Consider the following 19,797-nt stretch of genomic DNA (forward strand, 5'->3'; position numbering starts at 1 on the left):
GAATTCGTTGAGGAGCTTCTGGAAAGTGCACATTCTGACTCAGCAGGTATTGGAGTCTGCATTTCTCATGAGCACTTAGGTGATGTTTGTGCTGGTCCTTGGACACAGCTCTGAATAGCAAGGGAATAGCTTTCCTTTAGAGAAATCTGGAAAAAGAACCACTGGAGAGCAATTTAAAAAATAACAGAATCCAGGGAAAGCTTTAATTTCCTTTTATTTCTGAGCATGATTCTAGCCACAGGGGAAGGAAAATGAGATGAAAAAAGAGAGATTACAGGTGTATACTACTGCTGAATACAGATGAAAAAAGTGGTCACAATCATCCATAAAAAGCAGTTAGGAAGGGAAGCATCAGGATGACAGTTCTGATAATCATTTTTTCAAAGGAAGAGGGATGGTGAAAGGACACAAAAGGAGGAAAGAAGGACATTTGCTGGGGTCTTGGGAGTTAAAGCCAAGTAAACTTGAGACAACTCACTTCCAGTTGCTTCAGCATATGCCCAGTCTCACAAAAGAGGTTATTGCTGTGGAGAGTACTGGAGACAGGAGGGAGTGCTAGAGTTGGGGTAAACCACAGCAGCTCATTTCACTTGATAACTGTCAGGCCTCAGGGAGAGAAGTTTAACTGACATGAGTGAATAAGATATGATTAAGTTGCATATAGATGCTTTGGCGAAATTTTTTTGAGACAGCCAGTTCTTTGATATGATAGCTGTTTTATAAAAGTCCTTTACAGTGTAAGATAATATACCAAACTTAGTTAATTTTAGAAGTAATCATAAAATTCATTCCATGAAAACCAAAATTATCATTTTCAATAAATACTGCACTGATTTTGAAATATAAATATGTATTAATATCCAGCAAGTCTGTGGTCATTCAATGTTTTCTTTTTTGATAAATATTTTGATATCAGAAGCTTATTCGACATGGTTTATTTGATGTGTTTTATGGACCACCTTGCATGAGTGGATCAAGGAGCTCTAATTCAAGGCCAAATGAGGGGATAGGAGAAATGTAGGTGCTGCAGTAGCCCATGTGATCATGGGAAAAATGAGTAGTTTGATTAGCTGTTATTTCATAAGTGTGTATCCTAGCTGATCAATGTAGAACCCTTTCTTTGATGAGAGGTGAATCCCACATTCATCTGAACTGTCATCCCAACTGCGTATTTCCTCAGTGACAAGACAAGGGGAATTTATTTGTGCTGTGCTGGCAGCAATGCCTCTGGTGTGTGGAGTTAAAATACTCTGTACATTCACCATCAGCTTTGACATTGATTCTCTCAGGTTTGATTTGCCCCTCTGTTTAATGGTCCCTTTTCTCCTCATCAGTCCACGTGTTCACGGTTATATCAATGCTTTTCTATTTTAAGTATAGGCATTTGAAACATAATCTCACTAACGAAATGTAAACTGTGCATTTTGGGAATCCTATATTCCTATTTTCCTCATTGTGTTTCTGTCATGTTGCTGTCCTAGGCAATGAAAAGAAGAAGCCAAGAAGAACCCTCAAAACCTTAAGTAATTATTTTTATAGCCAGGCCTGAGAATTCAGCTCGACAGTAACACTGCATGAATGTTTGGTTGGCCCTGTCATACTTACATATAATTGATGACATATCCCCTTTGCTTTGCAGGGCCTCCTGCAAAACATCCTTCCTTGAAGTTAATTAATTATGTATATTTTTGAATCACTAACTCCATGTTGTATAAAATATATATGATTTATGAATCGTTTTCTTTTAAAACCCATTCAGCCTAGCACTGAAGTGGAAGATCCTGCTGTGAAAGGAGCAGTACAAAGAAAGAATGTACAGACATTGAGAGCAGGTACATTTAATGGAATACTGTAAATAAAGTACATTCAATGATTGGATGTACTCATATTATTCTTATTCCTAATTCTATTTGTTCAATATTGAACAGAAGGCTTTGACATAAATGTTATTGTTGGTATCCATATTTGAATAAAAACAAATTTAGAAGCATAAAAAAGATTTTAAAAATGTAAGCTTTAGGTCAGATGTTTCTGTTTTAATGTTTTGAATAGCATGAAGTTTTCAGTATAAAATTTTTATACTTGTCAGGGATTCAAAGCAGTGAATTTTGAGACTCTTAAGATATTTCCAGTGAGTTAAGTGCTAGTTGGAGTTCTGATCTTTACCTAGAGGAAAGCTTTACTTATTAAAGTGTCAGTTTCTGTTTTAACTTCAGAGGCTTGCTGCTAGTGTTATTACACTGATGATCTGAAGCCTATCAGATGTTCTAATGAGTAAGACTGTGTGTGTAGGTGTATATATAGATGTGTGTATGCGTGCGCTTGTGGCATCTTTGACTACTACAAATGATGAAAGTAATGATTCATTTATGACTGGTAGACACAGCCTTTTAAAATGGTGATTTTGAGCCTTTTTGGTGTTAAAGTTTTTAAAACATGATTGCATAGAGGCTACCAACATCATAAGTCGGTTGTTTTTCATTTCAATGCCCTTTTGAAATCTTTAACTACATTGTGATGCTCAGAAATAATATGCAGAATTTTTTGTGTCCTAAAATGGTATGTGAGAGGTTATACAGTTTATATACCTTTCTGCCACTTTCTTTGGTGTGTTTTGTATTATACTTTCCACTTGTACCCACATTGGTGTGATTATCTCTGGTTTAATTCATTTTACACTGTTCATTGTATTCCCTCATACCACTTTACCACATTTAGTTAGACTCTCCTGTTGCTGATAAATGAAGAAATAAAAAGAAAAATAATGTCAGATTAAGAGGGCTTTTCTTTAATCGGTTTGTATCTATTAGCATTTACTATATGAGAGTTTAAACCTGAAAAGTTCAGAATACAAGCATGCACCACCATATTTTATTAATGCCCTTAGAACTATGACTCATGAGCCTTTAGCCTATGAAGTTAGGACAATTCATTTCTCTGAAGAAGAATGCTGGGCTGTTCTCAGAAAAGAAAACTGAAAATAGCAAATGATATTGTCTTATTTTACCTCTTGGACATCCTTGAATGAAACTGCTACTAAAGGGATACTCGGATCAAAATTCAGATCTAATGTTTTGAACAGTATAGTTTGTGAATGTCCAGTGATCATGAGCCCTTGATGGGGAAATGACCTTTCGAGTTTCACTTTTGCATTTTTTGCTCTTTTCGTTGACTTGTCTTGAAAGCTTAAATTCAACTATTTTATTTTTACAGAAACCAGGAATATAACTTTTAAAATATATGTCTGTCCTGTCTCACGGTGTTGTGTACTCTTCAGATCTTGTATGAACATAGACTTATATGGGAACAATTAGGTTTTTTGTTTGTTTGTTTGTGTTTTTGAGGCAGAGTCTTGCTCTGTCACCAAGGCTGGAGTGCAGTGGCTCAGTCTTGGCTCATTACCACCTCTGCCTCTCGGGTTCAAGCAATTCTCCTGCCTCAGCCCCTCGAGTAGCTGATACTACATGCACGTGCTACCATACCCTGCTAATTTTTCTATTTTTAGTAGAGATGGGGTTTCACCAGTTTGGCCAGGCTGCTCTTGAACTCCTGACCTCAGGTGATCTGCCCACCTCGGCTTGTCAATGTGCTGGGATTACAGGTGGGAGCCACTGTGCCAGCTAAAAATAAGATTTTTAAGGCTATTATATTTTATACAATTCTTTGGTCTATGTGAATTCTGAAGGTATTCATGCATTGAGGGAAGATTATCTCAGTTTAATGAAAGCAGTTTTTAATTTAACGTATATTCATTAAATTTTTTTTGAAGTTTTTGTCTCTAGTACACAGAAACACACAATAATGTCATGGGTATTTGACCTTAATGTGTTTATGCACAAACTTAGTTATTCAAATATTTTCTTATCCCTGAAGAATCTTAATTACTAATAAACAAATTTCTCATGGAAAACAACATATATAACAGAGATGGTTGAGTGATTGAAAGTAAACTGTAGTAAATACCAGAAGCTTAGAACAAGTTAAGTAAACTTGTCTGAGTTAATAGCAATTACAAGACTTTTAAAATACATTAGACCACGGGGGAGTAGTGCATTTGTGGGGTAGAGGACAACATGGTACTGCTTCAGTGAAGAAAGAACTTTTACACTTTATTACAATTTGTATTATTATTTACATTCTAATAAATAAAAACTTTATTTTCAGATATTTTACATCATGTTTCTACTAGTTGAACCATCAATAGTAAGACTTTTCAAAGATTTGGGAAGTTGTGAGTTGATGATAAATATCTGTATCACCATCAGTGATCAAAAATCAGACAGCAACTACCACAGATTTTGGACACGCGAACTTCATAGTTAAAGAAAGGATTAATCTTGGAGCTGTGTTTCTATCAAGGAATTACACTCTTCATTACCTGTGTGAATCGCAGTTATTAGAGTAGAAAGAGAGCAAAGAAGGAAAAGAAGCATAGAAAATTTTATTGTAGATTACCTCGTTTGGCTTCATGCTACCGTAGTTCTGACTTTTAAAGAGTCATTTTGTGGTCAAATGTACTTTGTGTTCACTCCCCTTATGCAGCCTACAACCAAACAGAATGGTTCTTAGCAAGGCATTTGTATTCTTCCCTTAAGGAAAGCAACATATAAATAACAAAGAGAATGAGAAGAAAGAGTGATTTCATTGAGGTTGGTATTTAACATAAATTTGAGTGCAGGTACCATGATTATATTTAGAATTTTGTGGCTGGATGGGAAAACCAGCTAGATGTCTATAGATTTCCTACTCAAACAAAATGTGCCTTTGTTTTACTTTTACGTCTCTAATTTAGCAATTATTAGGTACAACTGTATGCAGTGTCACTAAAAATACCTCCCAAAACCAAATATTAAATAATGTCTATGGCTTTCTGTTTTATAGTGTTGATTTTCCCAATATTAATGGGAACCACTGAGCATTTGCCTTGTGGTGTCTCCTCAGCTGTATTCACATATTCCATCACCTTTTCTTAATGGATAATCATGCGCTATGAGTAAGGGTTTTCAGAAAAGCTGTGTCATTTAAAGATAACACAGGAGCATCAAATTTAATTCTGCTAGGACGCCTGGTCTACTGATTAACTGCAGCTAATATGAGGTCTACTTCACATCCAAGTTAAATTCAGTGCCCTTAATCAGTCATATGATGAGGTCAACAGTAATAAATTATGCAATATTTTTTCACCCACCCCTATAGTTTTAATTTCTTTTTCCCCTTGTGTCTGTGTTTAACATTTTGCTTTGCAAAACATGATGATAATCTTCTAGAGTAGTGAGGACAAGCTATAAATCCAAAGTTTCTTACCTATGCAAATGACTTGTTTGCTCTATTTTCTCATGAGCTTGGTAGATCCAGGAAACAGAACTTTTAAAACAAAATCACCATATGTTGCTGGGTGCGGTGGCTAGTGCCTGTAATCCCAGCACTTTGGGAGGCTGAGGCGGGCAGATAACCTGAGGTTGGGAGTTTGAGACCAGCCTGACCAACATGGAGAAACCCATCTCTACTAAAAACACAAAATTAGCTGTTCATGGTGGCACATGCCTGTAATTCCAGCTACTTGGGAGGCTGAGGCAGGAGAATCGCTTGAACCCAGGAGGCAGAGGTTGCCATGAGCTGAGATCACACCATTGCACTTCAGACTGGGCAGGAAGAGTGAAATTCCATCTCAAAAAACAAAAACAACCACAACCACAACCACAACAACCACCACAAAACCCAAATGCATTTCCTTGGCACAGTAAAACTGAAACAGAAAAAGGGTAAAGTAAATACAAGTAACTGAAAGAGTTTATGTATATTATTTTACTTCTCATTTGATTGATAAAATTTGTAAAGTAATGAGCGAGTGTATTTCTCCAGGGACCCAGATATATACATTTATTTATTCAATAGAAATTCATTCTTATAATGGCCACTGATACCTATATCCTAAATATTTCTGAAAACATCTCCTCAGGCCTGCATCATCTTTGCAACATTGCCTTATATTTTATCTTTGTTCATTGATTTATATGCCTCAGAATTTTATGCTCCTCACAGTATTTAGAGTGAATTATCCCTAATGCAAATAGATCCGTGAACCGTTCCTGAATACCTAATGTCCAAGCATCTTAAAGGTTTATATAAGGATTTCAGAAACTGACTTCTGGGTAGGGCACGGTGGCTCATGTCTGTGATCCCAGCACTTTGGGAGGCTGAGGCAAGTGGATCATTTGAGGTCAGGAGTTCAAGACCAGCCTGGCCAACAAGGTGAAACCCCATCTCTAATAAAATACAAAAATTAGCAGGTGGTAGTGGCACGCACCTGTAATCTCAGCTACTCAGGAGGCTGAGGCAGGAGAATTACTTGAACCTGGGAGGCCGGGTTGCAGTAAGCTGAGATCATGCCACTGCCCTCCAGTCTGGGAGACAGAGTATAACCTTGTCCCAAAAAAGAAAAGAAAAGGAAACTGATTTCTGCCCAAATCTCCATCTGTATCCCTTTCCCCATCTGCCTTTTTCTCTGGAATTACCGAGCTGCTGGTAATGGCCCCCTCACCATTCCTCTTCTGCAGAGAAATACATACTCTCTTGGAGGCTTCTTGTCTTCTCTTGTTGCTGCCTGGCATGTGCTCACCCTTTCCTGCCCTCTGCCTCGCTTAATCTGGCTAACCTCACTCTCTAAGTCTCAGCTCATGGATGATCTTTAGGAAAGCCATCCCCGACAGCTTCTATTTTCCTTCCTTATTCCCCAGTGCCTAACACTTAGCAGGAACTCAATAAGTAATTATTTAGCAAAATTAAGACTGTTTATACAAAGATGATTCAAAAGATTGTCCTCTACAGTCTAGCAGCAAAGGGGTCAACATGTAAAGACATGATGTGCAGGTCAGGTGGTAAAGTGACACTAGAAAAATTGACAAGGTACTAAGGGACCCCAACGAAGCAGACACCTGTGTGTGTGGAGAAAGATAGCTAGAATCAAGGAAGATTTCACAAAGCATTCTGAGCCTTTTTTTTTCCTCTTTTTGGAGACAAGTTCTTACTCTATCACCCAGGATTGGAGTGCAATGACATTATTGAGACTCACTGAAACCTCAGACTCCTGGGCTCGAGGGATCTTCTCATCTAAGCTTCTTGAGTAGCGGGGACAACAGGAACATATCACCATACCTGTCTAATTTTTTGTAGAGTCAAGGTTACCTATGGTTCCCAGGCTGGTCTTAAACTCTTGGCCTTGAGCAATTCTCCCATTTTGGCCTTCCAAAGTGCTGGGTTTACAGATGAGAGCTATTATGCCCAGCCTACTTTCTGAGTCTTAAAAGATGAAAATAAATTTTTCAGAATAGCAGGGGAAAACATTTGTGATGTAAAAAATGGGGTGCACACTAATTGAGGTATAAAGAACAATAATTTTGCAAATTATTAGTAACTGCCAACTCAATTAGTGTCTTGTTAAAAAGATACTGTTATGAAGTATAATAAAGCATTACATTGTATATTTTGACTGTATTTCAAATTTCTGTTTTGTTTCTAACAGTTTTGTTGACTTATGTTGGGTGGAACAATTTGTGAGTGACCCTGAGATTTTGCATGGCTTGAATCTGGTGATATCTGGTGTCTCCCCAAGTGGTTTGTTGAAGTTTTGGATAATTAGAAGTATTTCTTACAGAAGTAAATATTTCAGTAAACATTGTTTCATTCAAACTCTCAAAATATAAAATACAAAGAAATGTTATTCTCTATTTATTTTTATAAAGATTATAGTCTTTAACTCTTCTTAGTTCATTTGAACTAAATCAATGAATTTGTCAACAGAACAAACCTTACCAGTGGCTTTAGAGGAAGAGCAAGAAAGGTGTGAAAGAAGTGAAAAGAAGCAATCACAGGTATATGAAAATTTAAGTTCTTGTTTAATATTAGGTTTTTTGTTTTGCTTTACTAACAAAGCATAGTCCAAATGACATGACCTTTCAGACTATACCTTTAGAACCCAATAGATCATAATTTTATATGTAATTTTTAAAACATCTTAACCAGTTATGAAACTTAAGATATTCTTACTATCTCTAGTAACTATTAGTTATTCTAGTAATTCTTAGTATCTCTAGTAACTCATAGCTGTCTTTACCCTTGGAATTGAGGCAAGAAATTTTCAGAATTATCTTGCTGTTTTATTTATATAACCTTACTCATAATACACAAGGTAACATGAAGTATTGGGTCATATTACTGAGGAATAGAAATTATGAACAGTTTAACAACAATGGCCACTGAGTTAAACTAGTGTTAAAGGAGTCATCATTGCCAGTGCTTCAAATGTTGCAGTTTTATATTGCTGGTCACCAGTGCCGAGGTTAAAGATTTATTCTGTTTTGTGGTCACCAGTTGACTTCTGTGTCTGTGTTCAGGGAGTGAATGGGGTCATAAAAGTCAATGCAGTTGCCTATTAAGAGAATCCTACCTTGCAGAATGGGATCTTTGGTGTCAGGGTGTGAACAATAACTTTATTTCAACATAAATACATAGTAAACATTACTAAAATTTAAAAAATCCAAACCCTATCACTACCGGAACTTAAAATGTATTAGAAGCGGATATAAGCAGAAATTCTATCTAGATACATAACACTATCATAGTATATCATTTGAATTAGAATTTAAAATTTTGCTTCTCTTTCTTATTGGTGTTCAGTTTAGCTCTTAATAATTTAGTGTTTGCCTAGTGCTCTAGTTAATCTTCAGAAATAAACATGCACTGTAGGGGCTCACTCTTTCTGGTATGCTGAGGTAAAGTCTTTGTAAGAGAGGAAGCTTTTATAATACTACCTATCATCTTTGAATTCATTTCTGGTAGATTTTACACAAATGCATTAAGTTTAGTCCAAACAGACACTGAGAGTTCAGCTTGCTGGTTCATGTTTCTGTCCTATGTTAAGCCAAGGCAAATTATTTTTCACTTTTTAGTTACAATCCCATAATTTAAGAGTAGCAACACATAGATTAAGTTTCACAGTTAAATTTTAATTATTTTCTAATATTTCTTTGTTTATACTTGATTAAAGCTAATTTTAAAACATGCACTCTGACAGAAAAGACATCTGAGAAACAAAACAAGCAAATTTGTTTTCCATTTTGCACCTGCCCTCCACCAAAAAAAGTCTCAAGAATCAGAACTGGGTAAGAACAGTGATAAGGGGAATCAATCTATATATTCATGACTTTCTTTAAAATTCATTACAAACAAGTTCAAGCTGAATATTGGTAAAAGTTCTGAAAACTCCAAAATTACTGCTTGCCCTGAGGAAGAGCTCCTATATGGTAACTCTAAAGAGGGATGAACAAAAAAGGAGTGCCCTCTAGTCTGATGAATCATGTCCCTGATTGTGAGGAGAAAAATGTATCTGGAGGGTCTAGCTCTGTGGCAGTCCAGGCAGCGCCTGAACAGAGGAAGCCCATGTCAAATGTCTTTTTATTCCATTCACACTCCAGGTCCCTGAAATACACTTACCAGTCATCTTCTAAGCTTCATTTAAATTAAAATAAATCAGACTATAAAAATGATAACAAACCAGACACACAGCTTGTTTCTAACACAGATGATGAAAATTTTTGTTATGATATAGAAACTGAAAAGGTAAGGAACCCAGTAATTATGATTGAAATGAAAGATGATTAAGAGTTTGACATGCAAATGGAAAAATATATAAACCCAAATACCACTAATTGGAAATTAGACATTAGGCATTGGTCTCAGTCTAGAGATCCAGAAAGTCTTTTTGATTTGTGGCTTACCCACCCCAAAGAAATGAAGCATATGATTCAGATAGAAAGCCACAGTATTTCTGCTGCTACAGATACTTATAAAAACAGAAAACCAACACAATGCTTATTCCAGAAGCCACTGAATGACAATCCCAGTGTTAATAACTACAAAACCATGAATCTTGAATTATAAAATCCGGGTTATTATTTGCCACATAGTGAGAGAACATCAAAAATATAGCTAGAAACTTACAGCAAGATATTTCAAGGTCACTAACATAGCACATGTATACATATGTAACAAACCTGCACATTGTGCACATGTACCAGAATTTAAAGTATAATAATAGTAAAAAGAATGAGGTAGGCATGTTACAAGTAGAGTTCCTGGCTTTGGAGAAAGAGAAAGTCCAACTTCAAAAAGACAGAGGTTCACTTGCTGCTTCTTTTTTCTCTTTATCAATTATTTGATTTAGTCATATTTTCTATTCAAGAAAATCCCATGTGTACAGTTACAGCGGGGTTTTCTAAATGTGTAATTATGTGTCAAAGTAGACTAGTCCTGCTATCTAAACAACGGTTCTGGAGAATGTTCTCATAATGTTTGTTCATTAATCAACCTAATTCTCACTCTCAGTCTTCCAAGTGGCATATGAGCTGGGAAACTAATTCAGCCATATACCATGTGACCTTCTGAACCAGATCAACATAAAGAAATTGCTAAAGAAATAAGTTTTAGATTCTAGATTCTTTTTACTATAGTCATTTAGAGATGAATTACATTTATTTAATGATAGAATGGGAATACAATGGGAGGGAAGCAATGACTGAGATGAGCCACAAAAACACTTCTAGCCTTGAGAGTTGCAATGAATATTCCCAGCCAAATGAGTCTGTTTAATGTGTTTTCATGCATGCAAGTTTATCTGCTTAGCTCAAACTGTTTGAATTTATAGTTCCATCATGGTTATTTCTAATATTTTGAAAACAAATATATACTTCCACATATTTTAAAAAATCACCACTCCAATATTTCTGTTGAATCAGACCTTACATTATGTTGTTTAATAAAGTATGGTAAGTTTTGGCATGTATGATTTTTATCATGTAAGAAGCATAATTTCTTAGCTAAAAATTTAACCTTTGACTCTTTAGTAGAAAGTTGAGTTCTGTACACTGTGTTCTAAAGATAGACAAAAATCTAGAGATTTTCTTCTTTCAAAGTAAAAGTAGATGAGGCCTTTTTCCACCCTCTGAGGTGTTAAATTGCTTTGCTCAAGTTAGACTTTTAATATATCTGACTAATTTGATAAATTTATCTGGTAATTTATGTAATTCGGCAACATGGAATTGTATCATGTTATTTGGTGCCATGAAATGCTAGGGAATGCCGCCTCAAGAGCTCTGGATGAAACATTTCATATGTCTTGGTTGGTTTGACTCCCGTTTTCAGTAGATAATATGGCTTAAGTAGATAACTGTACCATATGTGTTCCACCTATAAACATTTGTGGTAATTGAATGTGAAATCTGGGAAGCATCTCGTTTTCCAGAATTCTGCACTAGAAACTCAGCAGTTTCACTCTGCTTCTTGTGTTGTGGCAAACAAACATTGGTTCCCATAGTTCAGGGAGAACTTTCACTTTTTTGATATCCCAGGATTCAAAAAAAAAAAAAGAGATAAAAGGCAGTGGGGAAAAGAATAGCTCAGTGCAGAAAAGGGAAAACTTCTTTACTGTTCTTGAAGGCCTACAAGGTTACATCCTCTTAATCTGGCTATTTCATGTAAAATCCATGTGGCAATGACAGAAGATATATGTTATGCCTGTGTCTTTTTATTTCTCTGTTTCTGCCAGTCAACTAGCATAAACATTTATATCAGATAGCAAAGAGTGGATGCGAATAAAAGCACAAAATGGAGAAGAGTCCTTTTTGAAATTTTGGAAAATTCTTCCATTCACTCAAACAGAAATGAGCAGACTTGACAAAAATTTCAATGATAAAATGATGAGTATCTTATAATTATTATGTATAATGATAAAATTAAAGTAAGCACAAAATACTTTTATCATTAAAATGGCGATAGTTAACCTGAATCAAGTTAAAAAATCAGGGAAAAAGTTTTTTTATTGAATAAAATAATAATTATTATTCATATTACTTTTATTAAAGGTCAAAGAAGGAAATAATACAAACAAAAGTGAAAAAATACAACTATCAGAAAATGTATGTCATAGTACATCTTCTGCTGCTGCTGACAGATTAACCAAAGAAAGAAAGATTGGGAAAACGTATCCTCAGCAATTTCCCAAGAAACTGAAGGAAGAGCATGATAGGTAAGTAAGCCTATAGCAGTTTTTTTTTTTTTTTTTGAGATGGAGTTTCTCTCTTGTTACCCAAGCTGGAGTGCAATGGTGTGTTCTCACCTCACTGCAACCTATGCATACTGGGTTCAAGTGATTCTCTTGACTCAGCCTCCCTAGTAGCTGAGATTACAGACATGTGCCACCATGCCTAGCTAATTTCTTGTATTTTTAGTAGAAATGATGTTTCGCCATGTTATCCAGGCTTGTCTCGAACTCCTGACCTCAGGTGTTCTGCCCACCTCGGCCTCCCAAAGTGCTGGGTTTACAGGAATGAGCCACCGTGCCTGGCCACCTATAGCAGTATTTCTCAGCAGATAATTGTCATTGTGCTATAAACTAATTCAAAATTGGACTAATGTTCATTATGATTAAAAAGTTTTATAGTTTTACCAGGGATATTTAGCCCTGCCTGGTAATCAGAAAAATGCAAATTAACATAAAATAAGATATATTTTGTAAAGTCATGCTGATATTGAAAAAGTAATTCCTACCATTGAAAATGAGAGGAAAAAGGCATTCTCATACACTGTTGGTATATGAAATTGGTAAATTATTTCTGAAGGGTAACTTAGTGCTGTTTATCAAAATTTCAAATAACCTGACATCCCTTTAACTCAACAACTCCACTTCTGGGACTAGATTTCACAGGAAAACATAACTTGTGTAAACATACACACACTTATTAAGGGCATTAATTATATATTACACATAATGAACAATAGCTTAATAAATATATAAAATATATGTAATAAGGTGAATTGGAAGTATTAAGAAAGAATTAGAAAAAGTGTGGGGTAACAGATGTTAGACTCTTTAGCCTAGTTTTAGATGACAATAATCTGCAGATATAGTTTGTGTGAGAGACATCTTACTCTGTAAATCATTTGGAGAGACACCTGCAATATTTCATAGAGATGAAAACTTATTTCTAGTGAACTTATACGCTTGTCAATAAATAGTAACTTTAAAAATTTAGTTGATTGTAAATGACCTTTTCTAATCAGGTAGTAATTATGACTGTGTGATTTGAAAAGGTAGTTTTGAACTTCTAACTATACTGAATTATTTCCAGTATCTTTTTGTATAATACATACTAGAGTGACTAGTAATAAAAACTTTAGCAGAATATTCTTTCCTTACTACTTTTCAAGTATATGCATTCGTTTGAAGATGTTGAAGTGAGAAATTAAATATTTGAGAACTACAAAGGAAAAATAATCCAGAACATAGAAATTTTACTAGGATGATAAAGAGCATCTGCAGAGGTAGATCACAGGATGATCTCTTTATTTTTTAACAAAATGAATTTTAAGATAAATGTCTTTGTCTGCAGATGCATCTTAAGACAAGAAAGTGAAGAAAAAACAAACGTTAATATGCTGTACAAAAAAATAGAGAAGAATTAGAAAGGAAAGAGAAACAATATAAGAAAGAAGTTGAAGCAAAACAACTTGAACCAACTATTGAATCACTAGAGATGAAACCGAAGACTACAAGAAATACTCCAAATCAGATAAATCAATCTTTGGTAAAAATTCTATATTTTAAACTTTATTTTATCAATGTTACTTATAATATCCTCTTGATTTAATATATAATATTTTGGTCTAAAACAAACCAGAAATGTTATCTCATTTTTAAAAAATGAATGATGACACTTACAGGTACAATTATTTTTATTATAAATCTTGGCATCCACATAGGATATTATTTTATTACAAAGAGCTTTTGAAAACAATAATATGCCATAATATATACTTAGTGATAACCTATTGATAAAGATTTTGTTCCCAGTAAAATTGTTCCTTGTACTTCCCGCCATTTCATATTGATTACTGTACCTAATACTATAAAGAGGAAACAAATTATTGCAATCACAAATAATCTCATGATATTCTAAGAAGAGCTCTATAAATTTTATCTTATTTACCATTGGTGTTTTGAAATAAAAGTTTTCTTTCGTATTGATACATTTACACCACAGAAGTAACTGTGATCTGTCAGAGAACTAGAAGTAGAGTAAGAAGTCCTGGGGAAAATCCTGTAGCTTGCTTATATTTTTAACATTTCTTTTTCAAATTTGTGGTAACTAGATGAGTTCATCAATGAATGTATATAGGAGTGACTAGTATAATGTCTAGATTTATGATTTAGTAAATGTAATTCTTTCAACTGACTATAAAAGTGTTAAAAGAGTCAAATTAAAATAGAATGTTATCAGTGAAACAGAACTGTAATAACTCTGGGAAATTTTATCTGTCCAAATATGTGTGAAATAAGGTTCTTACTATAGGGTGGTGTATGGGTTAGATATCAAAGTGTAAATGCAATTTTTGATATATTTTAATTTAGTCAAATTTGTTAATGCTTTAATTTATGCTTTTGAGTTTGTTGTAATTCAGGGAAAGGCTTTTCCAATTCTGAAATTCTTAAAAATTCTCTGGTGTGCGTGTGTGTGTGTGTGTTTACTTTTATAAATTCATTGACTTTAAATAAATTTCTGAACTTTTTGGAACTTATGCTCTATAAAGTACAAAGTTTTGCTTCAACTTTTTCTCCAGTTGGATATCCACTTACAGTAACCTTTTTAGTATATGGATGTGCAGGTTATTCTTTAACTTCAGAGGTAATCATGATATTTTATTGAGTACTAGCTAAAACTTTCTTTTGTTTTATTTAGGATTTTCATAATCAGGAAGAAATGAAAGATCTGATGGATGAAAATTGCATTTTGAAGACAGATATTGCTATACTCCGACAGGAAATATGCACAATGAAAAATGACAACCTGGAAAAAGAAAATAAATATCTTAAGGACGCTAAAATTGTTAAAAAAACAAATGCTGCCCTTGAAAAGTATATAAAACTCAATGAGGAATTGATAACAAAAACAGCATTCCGGTATCAACAAGAGCTTAATGATCTCAAAGCTGAGAATACAAGGCTCAATTCCGAACTGTTGAAGGAAGAAGAAAGCAACAAAAGACTGGAAGCTGAAATTGAATCATCAGTCTAGACTGACTGCTGCTATAAGTAAGCACAGTGAAAGTGTGAAAACAGAAAGAAACCTAAAACTTGCATTAGAGTGAACACAAGATGTTTCCGTACAAGTAAAAATGAGTTCTGATATTTCCGAAGTAGAAGATAAGAATGAGTTTCTTACTGAACAACTTTCTAAAAAGCAAATTAAATTCAATACCTTAAAAGATAAGTTCCGTAAGAAAAGAGATACTCTCAGAAAAAAGTCATTGGCTTTAGAAACTCTCCAAACGACCTAAGCCAAACACAGCAGCAAATAAAGGAAATGAAAGAGATGTATGAAAATGCAGAAGCTAAAGTGAATAATTCCACTGGAAAGTGGAGCTGTGTAGAAGAGAGGATATGTCAACTCCAACATGAAAATCCGTGCATTGAACAGCAACTAGATGATGTTCATCAGAAAGAGGATCATAAAGAGATAGTAACTAATATCCAAAGAGGCTTTATGGAAAGTGGAAAGAAAGACCACATGCTAGTAGAGAAAAATAAGAAGCTAATGAATGAATGTGATCATTTAAAAGAAAGTCTCTTTCAATATGAGAGAGAGAAAGCAGAAAGAGTAGTAAGTATCAAGGAAGATAAATATTTTCAAACTTTTAGAAAGAAAATTTAAACATTTGGTTCTGGATACATGTTGAACTTAGTTGAATATAAAAATCAATGGATAAAAAGTGTGTTTACCATACTGTATAATTCCATTTACATGAAGCATCCAGAAAAGATAAACGTATAGGGACAAAAAGTAGACTAATGTTTGCAAAGGGCTGGGGCTGAAAGCTGGTAGTGACTGCTAATGGGCGTGAGGGATCTTGCAGTGATGGAAATGCTGTAAAGTTGGATTGTAGAGATGGCTGCACAACTCAGTAAATGGACTAAAAAATCTTTTAACTTTAAGTTAAAACAGATACATTCTATAGTATGTAAATTATATTTCAACAAAGCTGTTTTAATAAAAAAAAGGAAAACCGTGTTTACTATACCAGCTTAGAAACGTGCCCCATTTCTAGGAAATAAAAGGTAGAGGTGAGAGATGATTTACTTTGAGAAAAGACATTGTGTCACCTATGAAATTTTATTAGGCACAGAGTCATATTTTAAGGTAGATAGTTCTGTACTGGTGAAATAATAATTTTAATGACTTTATGTTGCCACATGTTAAGACCATAATGTAAGTATAAATGGAAATGTTTACACCTGAAATGAGTATTTTCAAATTAAAATTTAATTGATTTTCTTTGACACTTAATTCTAGATTTCCCAGATGAACTGAAGTGTATTGCTGTGTCTTGTAATACCTTGCTTTAAGTAGCTTTTTATGTATTTTAGTTGGTATATCTTTGTTATTAATCATATTAATTTAACAAATCTGAAAATATGTCAAATTACATATTTTTATGACTATGTAATGTTTTAAAGGCACCTACTTGTTATAAAATCATAATTTAGGATACATGTGGTAATATTTAGCAAAAGTATATTTGGTTTAGTCTTCCCACTGGTATTTATAGTTTACTTTGAATATTTATATTAATAATTAGCTCCTAATTTTTATTTCAAGGCTCAATGGCTATCATTGGAATATAATTTTGTTCAGTACAAAGATACTTGTAGCTGCCTGTGATTTATGAGTAAGGCATTAGATCCCTATTTTCAGACTGAGGGGTGGCAGGCTTCACGTACAGTGGGAATGGAGTAATTACAGAAGGGAGTTGTAGGAGCTTTGAAGTCAGAGAGGGAGGTAGAGACCTGTTTACCTAGGACCTCAAAGGCCATTGGAATTTTACTTTTATTCTGAGATAGGAATCTGTTGGAAGGATTTGTACAGGTGATTGAATATGTGAGGAACTTTGAGGTTGAGTTGAGCTTCTAAGATGATTGAATGGTGGGATGAATCTGTTATGTAAGTAAGAGAATACCAATTTGGCAGGAAGAGAACATATTGTGCATCCCTCACTGAATTCAGTAATAAATAAAAATGTGTACATGTGATTAAAAGAAGGTGAATCGATATGTGTGGTGATAATTTTCAAAGTACGTACGTTAGAGTTAAATATTATTAACATAATTTAATAATAAGGCAATTTATAAAATCAGTAACAAAACTATTTTCTCAGGTGGTTGTGAGACAACTTCAGCAAGAAGCAGCTGACAGCCTAAAAAAATTAACTATGTTAGAGTCTCCACTGGAAGTATATCACATTATCACATTAATTTGGATGAGACACAGGTCCCAAAGAAGAAATTATTTCAAGTGGAAAGTCAAGTATGTATGGAACTTAGCATGTCAACGGTTATTCTGTAGCTAGTTGAATTACATAACATGTTTTAGGATACTAATTATGGCAGAAGCTTGATTTTTTATTTTCATTACAATGAATTATTTCCATTTTACTATCTCTATAATGTACTTATTTTTTTATATAGTGACTTTCATTCTACCATTTTGAAAAACCATTGCATACCTTTTCTTTTACAATATGTACCCTTGGAAAAGTTGAGAATTATACATCATTCCTCATAGAAAACTGACTTTTGTCCTGTTAAAACAGTATTTTTAAGTAATTTTTGTATTGCTCTGATGAGGCAGGCCAGATTAAATCAGAGAAGAATGTTTCATGGAATGTTCCAGAAAATTGTCTTATTTCTTCACTTTTGTGAGTGGACACAGAATCTGTGTCTATTTATTTCACAGATTCTAGGTTAACTTGTACAGAAAGGCCATTATACTATTCTTTTAAAAGTGCATGTTTTAGGTTAATTTACAAACTATTTGAAATGTTAGGCATTTTCTTTATCTTTTATTTAAAATATACTATAAAACTGTGGAAATATTTAAATTTGAGATAACATGTACATCAAAAATTGAGAGTTGAGAAAATTATCTTGATCCTGCCTTTGGATTTTAAAGACAGTTTCACTGAGATATCATTCACATTTGAGAGAGTTCAACCATTTAAAATGTACAACTGAGTATCTATTAGTATATTCACAGCATTTTCATCACCTGAAAAGCAACCCCACATCTCCTAGGCATGACTGCAGCCTTCCTCCATGTCCCTCCACCTACCTCTGTTGTAGGCAACCACCATCTATCTACTTTTGTCTCCATATGTTTACCTGTTCTGCTTATTTCATATACATAGAATTATACAATACGTAGTCCTTTGTGACTGGCTTTTTCACTTAGCATAATGTTTTCAGAATTCACTTAGCATAATGTTTTAGCACACATTGGTAGTTTATTTCTTCTTATAGTTAAGTGATATTCTATTCCATGTCTATACTGGTTTTCCATTCATTCATCGGTTGATGGACCTTTAGGTTAGTTTCCACTGTTTAGCTCTTATGAAAAATGCTGCTGCGAACATTCACTTACAGGTTATTATGTGGACAAGCGTTTTTATTTCTCTGCCATTGGACTTTATCCTCAGAGTTAATTGGGCAGATTTCAGCACTTGTCTTGCTCATGCTATCCTTTCTGCCTTCTCAGTTTCTATTCATCTAGCCTCATTCACTCAGACGTGGCAGACAATTTATTGTTTTCATGAAGCTTTCTCTGAGTGTTCTCTCATTGACCTCATGTGTTAGCAATCGTTGTCTAGTCTGTGCAGAAAAACTTAGTTCTTAATTTTACATGGCTTTTATTTTTTTATGGAAGATAGTTTTCTCTCATTATAAATTTGCTTAATGGGGGAATAATATATAATATGTATGCCACCTATCCTTGCATACATTGAAAATATTTTAGCTTAGAAGTTTGTAGCATACAATTCAATACTTTATACCATACCAATTATTTCTTCTTTGAGACCTTGACACAGTAAGGTTTGTATTCTAAGTGTGTTTTTAGCAATTAAATATCAAAGCCAACCCAATTAGTCTAATACAGGAGACTCGTTCAATCACATGTTTATGTTTTTCTCTCTATGAAAAATAATCTAAATTGGCCTTTTTTCACTATGCAGCAGAACTGTGTTTCTGGACTGGTACCAGTTTGTCAGCTGAACAGTTCTGGGTGCAGCTTGTCCGATGACGGATAGCACAGCCTCTCAATCTGAGTGCTCAGCAGAGTGCTTGTGAAGGCAGCACCACAGCAACAGTTGCTCAGAGGGAACGGATTCAGGAGCCTTGATTTAGCAATAGAGTCCAGGGTTTTCAGCTCAGTGTCTTTAGCCTGTCTCTGCTGGTCATGTCAGTTATGTACTATTCAATCCAGGAGGTGCTGTTTACATTGTAGTACATACATAGTCATTGCCTAATGAGTCATACAGAGAGAAAAGTAAGTTACAAATTATGTCCCCCATTTGCTGCAACTCTCAGTGGTAAGAATGATTCAGTGCAGCTATAGGAGAGTACTTCCATTGGCATGCCACCTGCCTAAAATACACAATTTTGTTAAGATATACAATAAAATTATTATGCTAATAGCAAATATTTTATGTAGCTCACTATGTTCCACGTAGTCTTCTAAGTGTTTCATGTTAGTCCCCAGTTAAACACCTGGTTTTGGAAGGCTGAAGCAGTAGGATCATTTGAGCCCATGAGTTTGAGACCAGCCAGAGCAATATAGTGAGACCCTGTCTCTAAAAAAAAAAAAAAAAAAAAAAAAAAAAAAAAAAAAAAAAAAAAATTTAAACACTTATCTG

At 34.3% G+C, this 19,797-nt stretch overlaps 2 long non-coding RNA genes across 6 annotated transcripts in view; one reads left to right on the plus strand and one right to left on the minus strand.

Moving 5' to 3' along the window:
* Window positions 1-96: 96 nt before the first annotated feature.
* Window positions 97-15,764, plus strand: LOC105379426 (putative ankyrin repeat domain-containing protein 20A2). Its single transcript, XR_001756105.2, has 6 exons — window positions 97-1,668; window positions 1,760-1,832; window positions 7,801-7,871; window positions 11,919-12,082; window positions 13,446-13,640; window positions 14,793-15,764. It is a non-coding gene; the product is annotated as a putative ankyrin repeat domain-containing protein 20A2 (long non-coding RNA).
* LOC101928669 (uncharacterized) overlaps window positions 4,089-19,797 on the minus strand; it is a 75,950-nt gene continuing 60,241 nt past the window's right edge. For 3 of the 5 annotated variants that reach the window (XR_001756114.3, XR_007068513.1, XR_007068512.1), the window contains one exon: window positions 13,900-19,406. This is a non-coding gene — a long non-coding RNA (uncharacterized LOC101928669). Of the gene's footprint in view, window positions 4,544-13,899; window positions 19,407-19,797 lie in introns of those variants that run through there. The other 2 variants (XR_001756113.2, XR_007068510.1) reach the window with 1 other exon arrangement.

The sequence above is a fragment of the Homo sapiens genome, assembly GCF_000001405.40.
Source record: "Homo sapiens chromosome 3 unlocalized genomic scaffold, GRCh38.p14 Primary Assembly HSCHR3UN_CTG2".
Taxonomy (NCBI): Eukaryota; Metazoa; Chordata; class Mammalia; order Primates; family Hominidae; genus Homo; species Homo sapiens.